The sequence below is a fragment of the Homo sapiens genome, chromosome 1 (genome assembly GCF_000001405.40).
Source record: "Homo sapiens chromosome 1, GRCh38.p14 Primary Assembly".
NCBI classification, from domain to species: Eukaryota; Metazoa; Chordata; class Mammalia; order Primates; family Hominidae; genus Homo; species Homo sapiens.
This window is the reverse complement of record NC_000001.11, coordinates 180,245,457-180,263,518: the sequence shown is the minus strand read 5'-3', so window position 1 is coordinate 180,263,518 and position 18,062 is coordinate 180,245,457. Positions and strand designations below refer to the sequence as shown.

Sequence of the window (18,062 nt, the reverse complement as noted above, 5' to 3'; positions counted from 1 at the left end):
TGCCGAGGGAGCCGCATGCAGCACCTCCTTGGCCCACAAGGCTCCCCCGGCCCAGCCCAGCCCTGCAGATCACCCTCCACCCCATCTCCAGTCAGAGCCAGTGTATCTAGAATACAGGGCATCCTACAGGGGTGTGTCTGTGATGGAGACACTGTCCCCATTCCCAGATCTTAGAATAGCCAGAGTCACAGGTGAGAAGGCCAAAGCCTGGCAGGTCACATGACTTGCCCTGCGACAGGCAATAATGAGACACACGGTCATGCCTAGAATTCCCTGGCCCCACACGAGGTAAAACTGTGAACCCGGCTGCTACACAGAGAACCAGAAGTCTAACCAACTGGACCAAATATGAAGGACGCTGGGGTAAAGAGGGAAAGGCTGGACTCCAGCCAAGGAAGAGGGCTCCCAAGGGCTTTTCCAAGCAGCACCCCTTAACACCGATCACCGGGCACCCATGCAGGGGCACCAAGGGCACTGGCCTCACCCTTCAGAAAGATAAGCCTGCTGCCCAGTCCTGCTAGCCAGGCCTCTGGGGACAACCAGTCCCCCCAGGAGAGCAGCTGGAGCTGATCCAAAACCACAGAGAAAATGCAAGGAAGACTTGCTAATGGCTCATATTATTTTCATCCTCTAACCAACACCACTGGAAATTGTCTTATCCCTGCCCAGCACATAGTAGGCAAGCCACAAAGACCCAATGAATGAATGAATGAATGAACGAATGAGCAAACGAATGAGTGAACGAACGAACTGCTTCTTAAAACATTTGCCTGAGTAGTCAGGGGAGGCTTGGCTCTCCATAATGGCAGCTCTTTTCTTTTCTTTTTTTTTTTTTTTCAAGTTTGGTATTAACTTTGTTCTATTTTTGGTCTAACTTTAAGTACCTAAAGATTTATTTCCACAGGCCTCAGAAAATGGGTAGAAATCACAGGACAATCCCTCTTCCCACCAAAAAAAGTTGCATACTTTGGTAAGTGTTTATCCTAGAGGGAAAAAGCTGAAATTTACATTAGCAGTGCTGTGCAAGATTCTGACATAAATCACGACCTCAAACCAGCCTGCAGTGGAGGTTCTAGTCTTCTGTTCAGGCACTTGGACAGAAGCCATAGCTGATGAGCATGACAGGGAAAAGGAGGCAGTAAAGACAGGTGACAGGCACCTTGTAGGGAAGGAGGATTCAGGAATGCCAGGCTCCTTGGAATGGTGTGCTGTTTTTCCTTTTTTTTTTTTTTTTTTTCCTTTCAAAGTCATCTCTGTAGGAAGGTGCTGGGCAGCGATCCCAGAGAAAGAAAGGTCCAAGACTCCTTTAACTGTCCTGGATGAAGGGCAGTGCTACAGCAGCTAGTACCGGAGACTCTCCTATCTCATGGTTGAGGCAGACCCAGGATAGAATAGAGAATAAAAGGAATGCTTATAGGAAACCATTTTGCATGGAATGCTAGATGGCCAAGCCTCAGCCTTTGGTCCAGTGCAACCCTTGCCTCACTTGTCAACAGTGAAAAATTAGTTTGGTTAGAGGAACCATCTGGAAACACACCAGCTTCTGCTAGCTTCATGTTCATTGCTAGAAAAAGATTAACCAGTGTGAACATTCTGATCTGTTAATTCCTGGGATTGTTTTCTTCCCGAAGGACTGTTTGTTGGTAGGATAACCCCCAAAAGCTCAAAGCTAAAATGCATCATCAGTCCTGGTTGGCAGTTCCTTAAGAATGGACTGGCGGCGTGAGCGAGCTGATATGGACAAGCTGCCCCTTCCTGCAGAACATCAACTGACCTACTATCTCACCCCAAATCTCTGCCTGAGGTATATTTCAGTGAAGGCAGTTAGTTGTGCTTCTCAGAGCAGAGAAGCAGTTTTAAGCTCTTTTCTTTAGGGGTGAGGGGATCTCACTCGGTTGCCCAGGCTGGAGTGCAGTGCCACAATCATAGCTCACTGCACTCGAACTCTCAGTCTTCCCACCTCGGCCTCCTGAGCAGCTAGGATCACAGGCACATGCCACCATGCCCAGCTCATTTTTTAAGACATGTTTTGTAGTGATTGGGTCCTACTATGTTGCCGAGGCTGGCCTTGAATTCCTGGTCTCAAGTGATCCTCCCACCTTGGCCCCCAAAGCACTGGAATTACAGGTGTGAGCCATCCCCTTTGCCTCTGCTGTCATTAGCTTCCCCTCTGCTGGCTCCTTCCATCCATGTACAGGCATGCTATGATCCCTGCCTGCCTCCCTTCTCTACCGCCCACTCCCCGCACCCTTCAGGGCAGCGCCCCACTCATCCAGAGCTGTGCTGCAGCCCAGCGGTCAGCTCCCCTCTCCCCGGCCTCCCGAGCCTCCCGACACACCTGCTCGCCGCCTCCTCCCATCTTGGCCCCCAAAGCACTGGAATTACAGGTGTGAGCCACTGTGCCCAGCCAAAAGCTTTTCTAAGAAGGGCATTAAGTCCCGGGTTGAAATGAGGCCCATGGTTTACTAAACCACAAGACTTTACATCCCACTTGCTGTCGCCATCACACTGCCTCCAGACTGTCTCCTGAGCTCCTAGCCTGAAAGGTGGGTACTGTGACACCTTTTAACAGATAAGAACTGGGGCTCAGAGAGGTGAGGTGCCGACCCCTAGCTCCCAAGGGCAACGAGCGAGAGAACCGGGGTTTGCAGTCGGTGCTTCTGACACAACACAGCGGACATGCGGCGGGCTTCAAGGGCAGCAAACCCGGCCTTGGTGCCCTGACCTAGGCTGGAGCTCGAGGAGAGGGCCTGTCCCCCTCATGTGGCTCTGAGCCCCCTGCATGAGGCTCCCAGCCCTGCAGTGCTGGGGTGGCCAGGGAAGCCCTCACCCCCCAGTGTGTTAACCCCAACACATGTAATTGGCCCGCTGTCCACCTTCCACATCCTCCGGCTGGCCCAGGTGTGGGCAGAGAAGAGCTGAGACTTCTCGGCTGACTCTCATGGGCCACTCTGGACCCCAGGAGAGGACTAGGTCTTGTGTGCTGGGTCCCAGCCTCTGCACCTGAGCTCCGCCTGAGCTCCTGCTGCTGTTGATTTGTCCACCCCTGCTGCTCCCGACCACCTGGCTGGGCTGCTCACCAGTGCAAGACAGGCTTGAGGGTCTGGACCCTGTAGAAAGGGGGCAGCAGGCAGGCCCTGCAGGGACCGAGCCTTCTAGAACCAGGGGTGCATAAATCCTACACCCTGGCTGTCTGGCACATTCCTGATGGTAAGTTCCGACCTCTGAGCAGACCCGCATGATGTACCACAAGTGGGTCACTGAGACGCTGGTAATAAAGGCAGCTGCCATTCTCCTAGCACCAACCTGTGTCCTGTGCAGAGTGGGCCCTGCACATGTGATCTCATCCGACCCTCACCTCCAGCCCTCAGCCCAATGCCCCGGCACTCACCCCGTGGCTGCACTGCCACCCTGCTCCACTTGCTTCCCGCCTGGGTGACTTAACTCAGGCTCACCCTCACTCCCACCACACCCTTGGTGACTGCAGTCCCCACATAGACCATCCTTCCAGGCCCTCCCTCTCAATTCTTTGACCTCCTGAAGGCTGTGGCCTCTACCCTCCCTCCCACCGCTCACTCCCCCAGACCTTGTTGTTACCAGCAACTGCCACAGCTCCAGGGGTCACTTCCAACCCTCCCACCATTGGACCCCGCTGTTCTTCCAGCTCCCCAGGGCACTGACTCACACAACCCAGGGACTGCCCTTCCCCTTGGGCTTGTCACTGTCCCTCGCTTCCCTCCTTCCTTACCCAGCAGACCCCAGGGCGATCCCACCTGTCCCTCCCCACACACCCTGGACCCTGCCCTCTCTCCGCCCTGCGCCTGCCCCACCCCAGCACGGGCATCCACAGAGCCAGGAAAGCAGCCCCTGCCCACCGGACTGATGGTGCCTCGGGGGCCGGGGGTCAGAATGCACCTCCCACCCGCTCCCCCACTGAGCCCCAGGCTCAGCTGCTGGCGCCCTCCCATTTCCCATGGAAGAGGGAAGCCCGGCTTGGACCCTCCCCACCTCCCACTGTGCCTTCCACTCGCACACCCGGGGCCCCAGCCCCTGCCTGCCACCCACAGGTGAACCATGCACCTCCACCAGACACAGCTCATTCCTTCTCACGTAATGAGACTCCCAGCAACCATCCCCTTTGCCTTCTGTGTCATTAGCTTCACCTCTGCTGGCTCCTTCCATCCATGTACAGGCATTCTATGATCCCTGCCTGCCTCCCTTCTATACTGCCCACTTCCTGCACCCTTCAAGGCAGTGCCCTACCCAACCAGAGCTGTGCTGCAGCCCAGCGGTCAGCTCCCCTCTCCCTGGCCTCCCAAGCCTCCCAACACACCTGCTCGCTGCCTCCTACACTGTGCTCTCCGGCCTCTGCTCCTCTGCTCCTGCTCCTCCTCCTCCCACACCTCTTCTCTGCCCACCCCGCTCCCCTGGGGATCTCACCTCCAGCCCAGACCCCTGGGCTCCAGACTGGGGCTCCACTGCCTCTACAGCACATGGATTTGGAGTCCAAAACCAAACTCCTACCAACACCCCCCGCACCCTCTGCTCCTCCCATAGCCCTTCCCATCTCAGACCACTGTAACTTCATTCTTCCCACAGCTCAGGCCAAAACCTTTGGGCATCCGTCCCCATCTGATCTGTCAGCAAATCCTGTTGACTCTACTCAGAATAATAATAATTATTATTACTATCATTATTATTACTATTATTATTTGGAGACAGGGTCTCGCTCTGTTGCCCAGACTGGAGTGCAGTGGTGCAATCACAGCTCACTGCAAGCTTGAATTCCTGGGCTCAAGAGATCCTCCCGCCTCAGCCTCCTGCGTAGGTGAGACAATAGAAGTGAACTACCACGCCCAGCTTCTACTCAAAATTATATCATGTTGGGGACCACTTCTCACACCCACACCGCCTTCCCTAGCTTGGGCTGCCATCAGCCAGCACCTACAGCTGCCTCCTAACAGTCTCCCCGCTTCCGCCCATGCCCCTACAGGCACTTCTGCACATGGTCGCCACAGTGGGCCTAAGTCACACCCTCGCCCTCCCCTGCTGAAACCTTCCAGTGGCTTCTACCTCACTCAGGGTCAAAGCCACAGGCTCCCTAACGGCCACCAAGGCACTATGGCATCCCAGCGCCATCGCCTTTCCACCCTCCCTCCTCCACTGCCCAGTCCACTCCGCCTCCTCCTGGGGCCCGGGCACTGCTTCCCTGCTGGCACGCTCTCCCCCCAGGTACCTGCATTTCCTGCAGTGGTCCCCTGAAATGTCACCTGCTCAGGGGGACACCCCTGGACCCCTCCCCCTCAGCACTTCCTTCCCTGCTCCACAGCACTCATCTCAGTAGATGCGCTGTGCACTTATTTCTTGCTGACCCTGTTTCCCCCTCTCTAGAAGGCAAGTTCTGCAACAGCAGGGTCTTTATCCGTCTTGTTCACTACTGAATCCAGCACCCAGAGCAGGACCTGGCTGACGATATGTGCTCAGTGCATGTATGATGAATAAATCAGTGAGTGACCCAGTCCTGCGCAATGCTTGAAGGCCTGTTCTTCATTTGGACATGAGGACACTGAAGTTCAGAGAGGGTTAGTAACTGCCCCAGACCTCACAGACAAACGGTGGAGCTGGGATTTGAACTCAGTGCCTCTCCTCTGGGATGTCTTCCTTACTCTTGGCTATTGAAGGCAGTCGGTGGGGACCAGCCCAGGACCCATGTCAGCCTCCTGTGCGTGGAGCTGCCATGGAACGGTGCACCGTCCTGAGGAAACAAAATACTGCACAAGTTGATTTTATGCTTTAATTGCTTGGCGGTGATTTACTGCTGGCCGTATATTTTTTTCCCAGCTGACACTTCCCTACATGTATTTCTTTTATCTATCACCACACTTGACAGGAAAGTTGCTGATATTTACTGTTACTGTATGTACCAATATTTCCAACATATATCACCGCCCACTCTAAGGCCACAGCCATGTCATGGGCACATAAAGTTCTGCCCCAGAATGGGCAGCCTTCTCCAGACACAGACGGGGGTCCTATTTGGAGAAGGCCTGACACCAGAGAATCTTAGAGCCTCGGGGGCTGGGGACACAGCCCCCATGTCACATGCACACATTCACACATATACCTCCCAGCCCATGGGAACAGCCCCTCAGCAATCTGCTTTTTATCAGGATTTTAATCTAATGTTTTTATTTTTAAAGAATATTCGATATTATCATGTTGAGATGAATGCTGCTGGAAAAGCTTTAAAACCAGTGACCTAGTCCAAGGCCCTAATTTCACAGAGGAGGAAATGGGGGCCCAGAGACAAGCAGTGACTTGCCCAAGATCACACAGCTCCATCCATGGCAGGAAGTGGACGAGAGCCCAACTCTCCCGTCCATTTGGCCTCAAGTCCTCTCCTTCCCTGCTGGGGGCAGATTTCCTTGAAGAGGCAACGGGACGTGCAGGACCTGAATCCCTTCTAGAAGAGTCCAGACCACCAGGTGTTTTTGTAAACAAGCACGGATCATGTCATATGCACCAGGCAACTTCATGCGAGGCATCTCATTCAAACCACACACCTGCCCTTGTAGGGAGGGATTAGTATTCCCTTCTTTCTGACAGCCACAGGCTTGGAGCAGTCAGCTGCCTGGCCCAAGGTCACCCTCCCTCCTCTCCCTTACTTCCCGCAGCACCTCATCTGCCCTTCTCACTACAGGCCAATCAGCCTCTGCCAAGCTGCTAGCTCAGCTGTGAGCAAACTCCCCCGAGCGGGAGACGCATCGGGGGTGCTTACTGAGAGAAAAGCCACCCCTGACTCCCACTTTGGGGCCCAGAACCCACACTTTCCAGCCCCACGGATGGCCCAGTGCAGCGGTGGCACAGACCACTCCTACAGAAATCCTGTCACCTATGCTCTTAGCCCACCTGGGCATCTGCAGGTCACTCATCAATTGTCAGAGTCCCAAAGTCCCTCAAGACTGAGGGCCTCATTCTCCAGACGGCGCATGGCAGACACCCGCAGGAACTGGAATGGGTGTGTGGGAGAGAGGCCCCCAGGCTGACCTGCTGTCTCATCCACAGTGCCCACCAGAGACCAGCCCTGTGGAGAAGCTCGTGGCTTCTCAGAGTGGGGCTTCCAGAGACACGAAGGCCTCCGGGGACCAGAGTGACAAACTAGACACTGGCTCTAATGGGACCCTGGTGTGACCTTGGCCAGAGGACCAGCAGGGAGTAAGGCTGAGCCAGATCATGGGCCCTTGAATGCCCAGCCAGGATGCAATGGGGACAACGTGACCAGATGGGCGGAGGGAAGAGCCAGACGGGCTGAGGAGGGAAGGAGGGGAAAGGACCACAATTAGAGAAGTTACAGTGGTGCAGAGGCCCAAAGACAAGGGCCTGAAGGCACAGAGGCTGCAGGAATGTCCAGAGAGGGCCTTTTGGAGTGGTGAACCCCATGGCATGGCACCTGAATGGCCAGGGTAGGGGTGAGGAGAGGAAACCGATCTTCAGCAACGGAGGGAAGGCAGGTGCCGCTGGCTGCTGTGCTGTGCCTGGGCCAAAAGAGGGCTGCCCACAGCTTCCACTCCCATGTCACCCAGATCCCACTGGGGACCCCGTTTCCACAGCCCAGATGCATCTGATCCCCAGACTAATTTGCAGCTAGGTGATTCCAAACAGATTCCTCTAAGCCAGAAAGTCCCTGAGATGTGTCTTCCACAGATGTCAGGAGGCCTTCACCCCAGGCCCCACTCGGGGAGGGTGGCCCAGGCGACTGCAGCTGAACTGCACGCTCTGGGGCGGGCAGACAATCCTCCTCCGACTCATCACCTCCTGATTTACAGCCTCGGTCCCTGGGGGAGCTTCGGGGCTAAGTAATTGCTTCTGCCTTGATTACAGGCCGGCACAAATGACTGTGGGCCTGGTCCCACCAGTGTGTTTGAATCTTTCAAATGTCCACACGCACAGCCACTATCCGGACCATCTGATCGTTACCTTAAAAGGTTTAATTTGCTTAGCGAGGAAATTAGACTATAAACTATTCAGAAATTATGGAAAGTCACACATCAAAGAGACACACCCCTGTGCATTCCTTAAGCACATTCTGCTAGAGCACTGTGTGTGTGCATGTGTGTGCACGCGTGTGTGCGTGTGTGTATGCATGTGTGTGTGCGTGTATACATGTGTGTGCATGTGTGCATGTGTGTGTGTACGCACGATCATGCCTGCATGGCCTGGCAGGTGTGTGGTTATCAGAAATAATAAGTGGCTCAGCAAAAGTCTGACTCCACACTGACTCTACGACCAACCCCAGAACTGAGGCTGCCTCTTTCTGGGGCAACAGGGCACAAGAAAGCTTGAGACAGTGGAAAGCCACCCAGGCGCGGGCTGCCGCCTCCCACCAGGCTGGCCCCGCTCTTTGATGCGAGCGAGCGCTGAGGGCTGCGGTTCCTGCCCACAGCTCTGGACCACACAGGGAGGGAGAGCATCCCATGAGGAAAATGCAGGCCGGCTCCTCACTGAAGGGTGGGCCTTTGTTCAATCCCCTGACCACCACTACCACTGACACAGCCTGGCCAGCAACCCCAGGACCCCGTCCTTGCCAGCCTGGTCCCAGGCCCTCCTGCTGTCTTCTTTCCTCCTCCCTATGTGGGGCACAGTGTAGATGCCCCTCATGGCCTTCCTAAGAATGGACTAAGCACTTCCTTGCTGCTTCTGACTCAGTCCTCACAGTCACTCAGAAAAGTCAGTATTTTTCTTCCGCCTGTAGAGATGGGAAAGCGAGGCTTGGTGATGTCTAACGCCCCAAGTTCACGCTGAGCCTGGACTCAAAACCCCGCACCTGCTCTCCATGAAGCCCACCCCGCAGAGGGGTCGAGCCTGTTTTTCCCCATATTAGCCAATGTCCTGTGGGCAGCTGCCCCCTGCAAGATGAGGAGCAGAGGCCCTGGTCACCAGAGTGGGCTAAGGTCACCAGTGAAGCCCTGTCTGCAGCCAGCACCACCACCCTGCAGCCACGCCAGGCAGAAATGCGCTGTTCTGGACTGCGGAGATAAATGGGAGCAGCTCCCGGGCTCCCAAGGACGCTGCCTACCTGCCCTTGGCGGACAGCCCACCTACGGCCTGCAGACTGGCAGGCTGGGGGAGGGGCACCGCGGGGAGCAGAGGGAGATCCTGGCCTGGCCCAGCAGCCGCACAGCTCCCCTGCGACACAGCGGCCTCCATCCCGCTACCGGGAGCCTCTGGCGCACCCATCTCTGCCTGCCTGCCTTGCCTTGTGAGGGCCTCAGGGGCAGGGAGACCCCTGAGAAGCATGACGTTTTAGACAGGAACCTCCTGGAGTGGCAGCACCCTCAGAACACCCGAGAGTCACTCCACGCCCCCTGACGGGCAGATGGAAATATGGAGCCCCAGTGGCTGGGGGCACAGCTTGAAGCCCCCACAAGCCTGGATTGTCCTTGAAGGCTTTGCCCTTGACCTTACAAACGTGTAGGAACGTTGCCCTCGCTTCAATTCCACAGCTCTGTTTGTTTTCACTCCATAATGGTTTGTTTCTCAACTCTTCACAGAGATCCACATGGCAGGTTTCTCCCATGGACCACAGCCCACCCCGTTCTGCCAGGCTAACCCCCCACTAACTGAGGAGCTCCAGGCAGTTAAGAGTCATCTCCATGGGAAGCTCTCAAGGCTGGTACAGGGGAGACCAGGAAAGCCAGCGCAGGCCCCGCCCTGAGGGAACTCTGACTACCTGACCCTGCAGGGCTGCGGGTCAAGGGGCCACACGGCAGGGCCTGAAACCCGGCAGTGTTTACAAAGCACCTAGCATTCTGCTGGACCCGGGTCACACACGTCTTCTTCCTAGCTCGGTGGGTTAGCGTGAGCTCCTCTCCACAGACAAGGGAATGAGGCTCAGAAAGACCTAGTTACCTGTGCTGACAAACTGCTAACGAAAGATAGGACAGGAATTCAACTGAGCTCCTTTTGGGTTCACCAAAAGGAAAATCACTGCTGAGAAAATCACTCCTTTTGAGAAATGCTCCTGGGTGCCAGGGCTCTTAGACAGGCACTGTGAAGAGGACATAGATGCTCAGAGATGCAAAGAAACTTGCCTAGGGGCACCCAGCTGGCTGCCGACAGGCAACACTTGAACCCAGCTCCAAGAGGTCTGTGCTGTGCTCCAGAGGAAGGCAGCTGCCTGGCTCCTTCCAGGACCCACCTGGTGATAGCAAGGGGACCCAGAAACCCCACTCCTGGATCCCTACTCTCTCTGGGCCCTGGTCCCTTTTTGAGGAGACATGAGAAGGATCCATGACATGCTGGACACATGGTCTGGATAGGACCTGCTTAGCAAATGCGACACGAGGAGTCATTGCCCCGCAGCTTGGGATTCAAATTATAACAGGGCTCGGGACACCCTCTGCACCAGGGGTGGGCTCTCCTGATGTTTGAAGCCGCCACTGAACTCAGAACAAATCATGGTCCCCACTGTGCTCCCTTAGTCAACTCAGTGCCTTTCTTCTTGGGTCTCAGAATTTTATTTCGTTTGGAAAAAAGGAGAGCCAAGGACACAAGCAGCAAAAACAACAAACAACAGCAAAAATCAGTCAGTGTTACTGAGCAAGACAGAGCTCAACAGCCCCCAAAGAAAAATGCAACAACCACAGAGTACAATTTCCCAACAATCCTTCTTGCCTCCTCTGTGTCCACACCAACATCGCCCCCTGCTGCCAGTTACCAGGATCGCCACATGCCCCTGTGGAAGGCTGGGGAAGTCCTGACCTCCCGGCCTCCTTCCACTTTTGAGATATTACAAGGTACTACCCACCTCCAGTGGGTACTCTCCGTATCTCCGTATTGATCTGCAGAACTTCACATAGAATATGACAGGAGGATGCCCCCTGGAGTTGTGCAAAGCAGTGGCCCTCTTCCTTGTTATGGGCAAAGAGATTAAAGTATTGATCCAGGAACTTAGGACCACAGTGCTAATCAGGGAACCAATGAGCCCTGCCCCCACCTCTGAACAGGGCTAGGAGGAGGTACCAGAAAAGGACATGCTTTTTCTTTTTTCTTTTTCTTCAAGGAGCGTGGAAAAGGGACTCTCCCTAGCTCTGACCAGCTGTCTTCCAAACTCCACAGCTAAGAGCATCAGAGGTCTGATGGGCAAATTCAAGTATGTGGCACCTGCTGTCCCTCTCACAAGGTGGCCACAGATGTGACTTCTATAGCCGAGGGTGAGCCAGGGAGGGACCTGGGGTTCCACGGACTGCTTGCCCCCTCCTGCCCCAGCACGGTCTCTGTCCTTACTGCACCTCCACTGTGTGTGTGCCCCCATGTGCCCTCTGAAAGAGGTGCCTGGTGACATCTAATGAGATGGGATGAGGAGCAGGCTGCCCCAGAGCCCCAGGTGGCCAGCAAGTCCCAAGACCCCTGGGGATGGGAGGTGGGACCACTCAGATGCTGGACAGCCTGCTGCCTCCCTGTCTGTACCTAGGATGGAGCCTGCAGCTGTGCCTTCCTGTACCAAACAGCCCTGGTCCCCAAGAGCTTGGTGAGGGCTATGAATCCACCCACTGAGGACTTCAGAGCCACCTGGTCTTCATCTCGGGTTGGCCCTCCATTGACAGGAGGGAGAATCACTTCAGCTTTGAACTCCCCTCCTCACAGCACCCCATCACAGAGTCAATGGCCCAAACTCAGCACTGAATCCGTGGCCAGATGCCCTGCATTACAGAAGGACCCAGCCCTGAGAGTAGGTCATTTCATGAAGCAGAGCAGTGCCGGGAACAAGGGAAGTGACCGTGGCTAAATGATGGGCCTGAGCATTTGCAAGCAGCCTGGGCCTCCCTCACTCAAAGACGCCTTGCAGCATACAGAAGAAACTGGTCACCAAAGCTCGTGTAAACTCACTGGATAATTTACTTGTTGCAGCATCAAACCCAGCAGTGGCCTATGGACAAAGCGCAGAGCCAGGGGCTTACACAGGGGACAGAAAAATGAGTAACAGATAGGCCTTTTCCTCAAGCCAACAAGGAAGATAAACCAGGCACACGAGAAATGGGCAAACCAAAGCATTCTGTGCTGGGTCACCCGGGAGAGGGGAGAGACAGGAAGTGATGGCTCCACTGGGGATCCTGTCTGCCGCGGAGCTGGACTCTGAGGACCCTGGAAGGATGGAAGCCCTGGAGGGTGGGCACCGTCCCTGGAGGATGAAACAGCCTGGGCTGGCGTGTGGAGGCGGCAGCCCACCAAGCATGCCTGGGAATGGAGCATCCTGCTTGGTGGGCGTCAGGTACCTGAGGAAAGCAGCGGGCTAGGACTGGAAGGGAGCGCCGGCAGGAGGCTCTGATGCGCCAGTGCCTCTGGCAGGCTCTGTGGCATATTCAGGGAAGGGGCAGGCCCTGGCCTGGGCTGTGGGGTGGAAGGCTCACCTGGCGGGAAGGCCCACCTGGCGGAAGACTCACCGGGTGGGAAGGGTTGCAGACTACAGGGAGGTGAGTGGAGGGACTAGCCAGAAGGTTTCTGCTGAGTAAGGCCCTGAAAGGATCCAAAAGAGGGCCAGGGCTTGGGGCAGTGGAGCCAGGGGCAAGGCCCAGGTGAGGAGCCGTTCTTGTTATTTCTGGTCTTGGGCCTTTGGCTCATAGGCCTGTGGGGATCCCTCCTCAGCACACACTGTGGGCGCTTCCTGGGTCTAGGGAGACCCTCTTTCCTGGTCATTACTTCTCCCAAACCCAACCCCACGCCTGCGCTGCCATCACCTTCCTCTCCACCCTCTCTTTCCAAACCATAGCCAGCCACTCAGGGTCCAAAAATCAGACAGGGCCCTGAGGAAGCACTGGGGGGTCCAAGGCAGCCCTCTGGCGATGAAGTCCTGGGTCAGTGGCCCTGCCAGGCTTTGCTCATACCCCACAGGCTTCCCTGAGCCGCCACACTGGACCAGCCAGAAACCAGTGGGGTCTGAGGTCTGACTCGGACATCCAGCACCTACCCTGCCCCGAGACGGGCAAGCGGAGGCGTGGCCTCTTGGCTTTCCAAAGGTGCAGGCATACACATCTGCACACACCTCATCACAGAAGCAGGGCAGCTCACCCGACCCCAAGGCTAGGCCCTGCCACCTGCCGCTTCCTGCCCTCTTCACACACACATTATGTTCACATTTGCACCCGGGTACATATGTCAACCCACGCGCGCACACACACACACACACACACACACAAACACAGGGAAATTCACTCCACCCAGGGTCCTGTAACAGCTGCTGTGGTGCTTGGCCAGGACATCATAGAGGAAGGAAAATAGAGGCAAACTCCTGTTGCCCACTGGGAAAGGATGTGGCTAGAGGGAATGGAATTGCATGAATGCCAGAGAAAAGGAAACTAGAGGAGGGTCAGAGGTGGGAAAGCAACAGGAAGATTGTGAGAAAGAAGAGCAGTACACAAAAAGCTCAGAGGAAGGACCAGAGGTCTGTCCTTCCACCCAAACATCAAGGACTTGCCGGGCACCCATGTCACCTGCTGCCCCTGCCTTCCTGTAGTCAACACACATTCACACGCTCACTCACACTCACACACAACACTCACACTCTCACACTCACACAACACTCACCCACACACACTCTCACACACACTGTCACACACACACTCATACACACACTCACACACGCACACACACGTAGGGAGCAGCACATATCTGAGCAAAGTACCGTGGTGACAGTGAGTGCACCCTCTGCACACAGGCGGGGAGGCAGCCCCACGCACTGGTTACCAAGATCTTTAATGTGCTCTTCAACTCACTGCACTAAAGAAATGTGAGAATCCTCAGATATTCAAATCACTTATTCTCCATAGTGAAACCTTTGGGAAGATGTGGGAGAAATCGTATTCTGTATCCAGGACTCACATTTCTCCCCATTACTCCCCCTCAACCCCCATCTTCCGAATACACAGCTTCAGCATGAGGTGCCTCTATGGGGCTTGGTTATCTGGGCTGGGTGTGTTCAGCCTTTGGCGAGCCTCCCTGGCGCCCCCTGGGCCACCCAGGCTGGTGTGACTGAACACAGGGCTCAGCGTCACTGATCCCTAACCCCCACCTCCGGCTCTTGGCTTTGCTTGCTGCCAGCTGCTCCACATTGGCTAAGGCACCAACATCACTGCCTTGGGTAATAGATTCTGGGAGAGAAGTCAAGGACTAAATGCCATGGAAAACACCTTCCAGGAGGTCTTCTCACCCTGATCCAAAGCTCCAACAGGAAGTTTTTGATGAACCCCACCCCAGAAAGGAAAATCTCAGACAGTCTTAAGAGCTAACACTCAAGTGTCAGGCACTGTCCTGAGGACTTGATGCATAAATAGACTTATTTAAAGCTAATAAAAACCTCATGAGGTAGGGACTACTACTGTGAGCCCCATTTTACAGATAAACAAACTGAGGCATAGAGAAGTTAAGTAACCTACCCAAGAGCACACCGCCAATAAGTGGGTTCGAATACAGGCAGAGCCTGGACTCAACCATCACATGAAACTGCCTCTTTCTTAGTCATGTTTCCATATAAAGTGACGACATTGACCGAGCCTGGCTTGCCTCCTGCCAGAAGCAACTCTTGCAAGCCTCTAAGGCCCTTGAAGCAGGCTGTGCAAACACAGTCACAGAGACGCCTCTGGATGTGGACATGAACCTAAAAGCAGCTGCTCTGAAAGTTGTGGGAATGTTACAACCACATGCCCTGAAGCACCAATATATCAGGACAGAAAGAGCAACTCTTTCTGTTGCTCTTTGGAGCAACAGAGGAGATTTGCAGAACTTTGTCAACCACCCTGGAGAAATCTAGCCCAAGGCCTCTGGCTCCTCACCCCTGCCCCATGCAGAGATCAAATGAGGTCTAGAGGCTGAACCTCTGGCAGTGATGGGCCAGTGATCAGAAGGGGGACCTCAACAAGGGGCATCCTCTCAGCTCCAGGATTTACCTGCCCCTCCCAGAGTGGACTCTCCACCCTCCCTGGCCTACCCTGCTGCAAACTTCCCCCTCACTGCTTGGGGAGAGGCAGAGACAGGCCAGGGCCACGAGACGGACCGTTCTGACTTACTTGAAGAAGTCCTCCTTGCAGTAGACGCTCCCAGCCCTGGAGAAGCACCTGTCCGCCAGCTGCATCTGGCAGTCTGCACACTTGAGGCAGGAGCTGTGCCAGTGTCTGTCCAGGACCTTCAGGATGAACTTGTCCAGGATGTGCTGGTTGCAGCCAGCGCACTGGGGAATCTCTGTGAGGAAGAGGAGAGAGAGGCACTGTGAGCCTTCCACACAGCCCTGCTAACCAGGCCAGGCCCTGGCGGGTGCCTTCCCACTCTGCTGATGGTGGAAACAGACATGGCCCAAACCGCAGAGCTGTTGCATATAGTTGTACAGGTTATACATTGCACACAAACGTACGTAGTCAAGGAACAAGTGGGGACTGAAAGCCAACCCTTGCTTTGCTGGCCAGGCTGTGGATTCTGGCTTGGGGTGACTTTGGCCCAGAGGAATCACTCGTTTCTAAGGGCACCACAAGGCTAGCAGCAGCAGCTAACCCATTTATGTCAGCTGCAGTTCCACAGCCAACAGGCCAGGAAGGCTCAGCAACATCCACCTCTGTTTCCACGACATTTTCACAAGTGATTGGAAGCTCTGCTAAAAACATCAGCCCCCAAAGTGAGCCCTGCCCAGGCCTGGACTGAAAGGCCATCTGTCCTGAAAAGCAAATGATAAATATGGTGTGGGGGAGGGGGCGGGCAGTGATCAAGGTCCAAGCCTGAGTGTGCTCTTGTAGAGAAAATCTCAATATTTTAATGAACTGCAACTGATACCATAGATTGGCTGGATCAATACCTCATCCTAATGTGCCTTCCGGTGCTGCAGATAGGAAAGCTAGAAACTGCTTTTCCAGATGCCCTAGCGGCTCACATTTTGAAGATGATTGAGTCTTCCAATCAAATGCTCTTGGGAAAGACTTGAATTCAGAACTGAGCTAAATGTCAGGATAGCTGAGGGGCAGGCTCCCATTGTGCTGGTGTGCGTCACGGCGGAGGCGATGAAGTGCTTTGGTGGGTATTGCACTGTCCTGATCAGTCACAGCAGAAGCAGTGAAATTCTGGGGGCTGAGAGTTATCCTGGAAGCTCCAACCAGCTGGCTCCACTGAGTTGAAAGTCACCTGCCACCTGATGAGTAATCACTTTTCACTTAAATAGTGAAAGAAGACTCTATTGTCTGCAACAGAACCCTAACCACTGCCCCATCCGGTTCCTGTCCTGGGTGACTTCCTATCTGAGGTCTGTTTCTCCACCATCCCATCTTTCCAAGGGATTGCTTGCGAATTTGATAGTATTTTGAGTCACTGACTGTTTCAACATCTACAAAATGGTCAGGTTTCCGTGGTTGGATGAACAAACAGTACTAGGATCTCTAGCCATTTTCCCCTGTGCTTTTCAAAAAAGGAAGGTAACAAATCAACAAGTATTAAGAAGAAAAACAAAAGTGCAAGCGTTTGGCCTCCTACAGTATCCTCCTGATACAGCACTCACGAGGCTGGCAACCCCAGGGTTTACCACCCCTATTATAAAAGACACCTTTGCTCGTTGTTTGTCTAAACGGTCACTGCCTAGCACGGTGCCTGGCACACAAGGGTAATGCCATAGATGTTTATCGCTAAATAATAAATTGATTAAATCCTGTCTGAGAGGCTCACCTTGAAACAGCTTTTCACTAGTATCTCCTGTACACTCCAAAATGTCAACAGCAGTAAAACCAAATCTCTCATGAATCATACATGGGTTTTTTTTGTTTGTTTTGTTTTGTTTTGAGACAGAGTCTTGCTCTGTCATCCAGCCTGGAGTGCAGTGGCACAATCTCAGCTCAGTGTAACCTTCACCTCCTGGGTTCAAGTGATTCTCTTGCCTCAGCCTCCTGAGTAGCTGGGATTACAGGCGCATACCACCACACCCGGCTACTTTTTGTATTTTTAGTAGAGATGGGTTTCACTATGTTGGCCAGGCTGGTCTCAAACTCCTGACCTCAGGTGATCCGCCTGCCTCGGCCTCCCAAAATGCTGGGATTACAGGCGTGAGCCACCACGCCTGGCCTCATACATGTTTTTGATTCATATCATATTTGTTGGTTGTGATATAATTTAAAAAGTGTTAACATAAAGGAATTACCCTCAATGTACTAAGAAAAATTTTAAACACATCTAAACCTATGTAGAGAGAAGGCTTTCTTGACTATTAAGACGTTTGTACTTAAACCCTATAAATAGGCTATTGGGACACTCACTAAATGCCATCACTAGCCCTGTACACAGAAGTACCAACTTTGGGCCCAATTAAACCCCAACCCCAGCCTATTCCCTTCATGGCCCCAGCACTACCAGTATTTGCGTGGAAGTCAGGCCTGGTATACATGCTTTGCCTGTTGACCCCTTTCTCAGACCAAAATATCCCATGAAAACTATCAGGTGTCCCACTTGCTAATTGTCCCAGTACATACAGGATTCTTTTTTTTTTTTCTATCTCCACAGTTTTCCTCCTTGAGGAATACGCAGTCCAGTCAATCAGTACTTACCCAGGAGTTCCACTGTGCCCAGCAAAGTACTGAACAATGACGGCCACAGGGGTTTCCACCCAGTGAGGGCATGGGCAGGACACGGGGTGGGAATGTGGATTCTGGAGCTCAGCTGCCTGGGTTTGGATCCTGGCTCTGCTTTTTAAATTGGAAAAATGACTTAGCCTCTCTCTGCCTCAGTTTCCTCACCTGTAAAAGGGGGTGATGATGACAATAGTGCCTGTAGGATTGTTGTGAGGAGCAAACGGATTGACACATGGACAATTTTTAGGACAGGCCCTGGTATACAGTAGGTGCTCAAGACAGGCTTGCTATTATTAGGAGATAACTGTCATGCCCACGGAAAGGCAAGTTAGGCACCCATGTTCGTGGGCATTTTCTTATGGAGCCCTCATAAGAATCCCTGCAGAGATGTCATGACTCTCCCGTGGAGGCCGAGTGGCCGCCTCACACAGCAATTATGCCAGCGGCTTGGGGCCATGCCTGTCTGCCCCA

At 54.0% G+C, this 18,062-nt stretch overlaps 1 protein-coding gene across 4 annotated transcripts in view, besides 4 other annotated features; it reads right to left on the bottom strand.

Moving 5' to 3' along the window:
• Positions 1 to 18,062, bottom strand: part of LHX4 (LIM homeobox 4) — a 50,610-nt gene that overhangs the window by 15,466 nt on the left and 17,082 nt on the right. For 3 of the 4 annotated variants that reach the window (XM_011510105.3, XM_011510106.4, NM_033343.4), the window contains exon 2: positions 15,063 to 15,234. In XM_011510105.3, coding sequence (XP_011508407.1) covers positions 15,063 to 15,127 — 65 coding nt within the window. In that variant the 5' untranslated portion in view covers positions 15,128 to 15,234. Of the gene's footprint in view, positions 1 to 15,062; positions 15,235 to 18,062 lie in introns of those variants that run through there. The other variant, XM_011510108.3, reaches the window with a different exon arrangement.
• Positions 4,811 to 5,580: an enhancer, noted in NCBI's record as "H3K4me1 hESC enhancer chr1:180227074-180227843 (GRCh37/hg19 assembly coordinates)". NCBI's record gives its function as "activates a minimal SCP1, AML or CMV promoter by ChIP-STARR-seq in naive H9 embryonic stem cells {active_cell/tissue: H9 hESC(naive)}" and the evidence as "EXISTENCE:reporter gene assay evidence [ECO:0000049][PMID:30033119]".
• Positions 9,038 to 9,557: an enhancer, noted in NCBI's record as "H3K27ac-H3K4me1 hESC enhancer chr1:180223097-180223616 (GRCh37/hg19 assembly coordinates)". NCBI's record gives its function as "activates a minimal SCP1, AML or CMV promoter by ChIP-STARR-seq in naive H9 embryonic stem cells {active_cell/tissue: H9 hESC(naive)}" and the evidence as "EXISTENCE:reporter gene assay evidence [ECO:0000049][PMID:30033119]".
• Positions 13,407 to 14,387: an enhancer, noted in NCBI's record as "H3K4me1 hESC enhancer chr1:180218267-180219247 (GRCh37/hg19 assembly coordinates)". NCBI's record gives its function as "activates a minimal SCP1, AML or CMV promoter by ChIP-STARR-seq in primed H9 embryonic stem cells {active_cell/tissue: H9 hESC(primed)}" and the evidence as "EXISTENCE:reporter gene assay evidence [ECO:0000049][PMID:30033119]".
• Positions 14,673 to 15,173: an enhancer, noted in NCBI's record as "H3K4me1 hESC enhancer chr1:180217481-180217981 (GRCh37/hg19 assembly coordinates)". NCBI's record gives its function as "activates a minimal SCP1, AML or CMV promoter by ChIP-STARR-seq in naive H9 embryonic stem cells {active_cell/tissue: H9 hESC(naive)}" and the evidence as "EXISTENCE:reporter gene assay evidence [ECO:0000049][PMID:30033119]".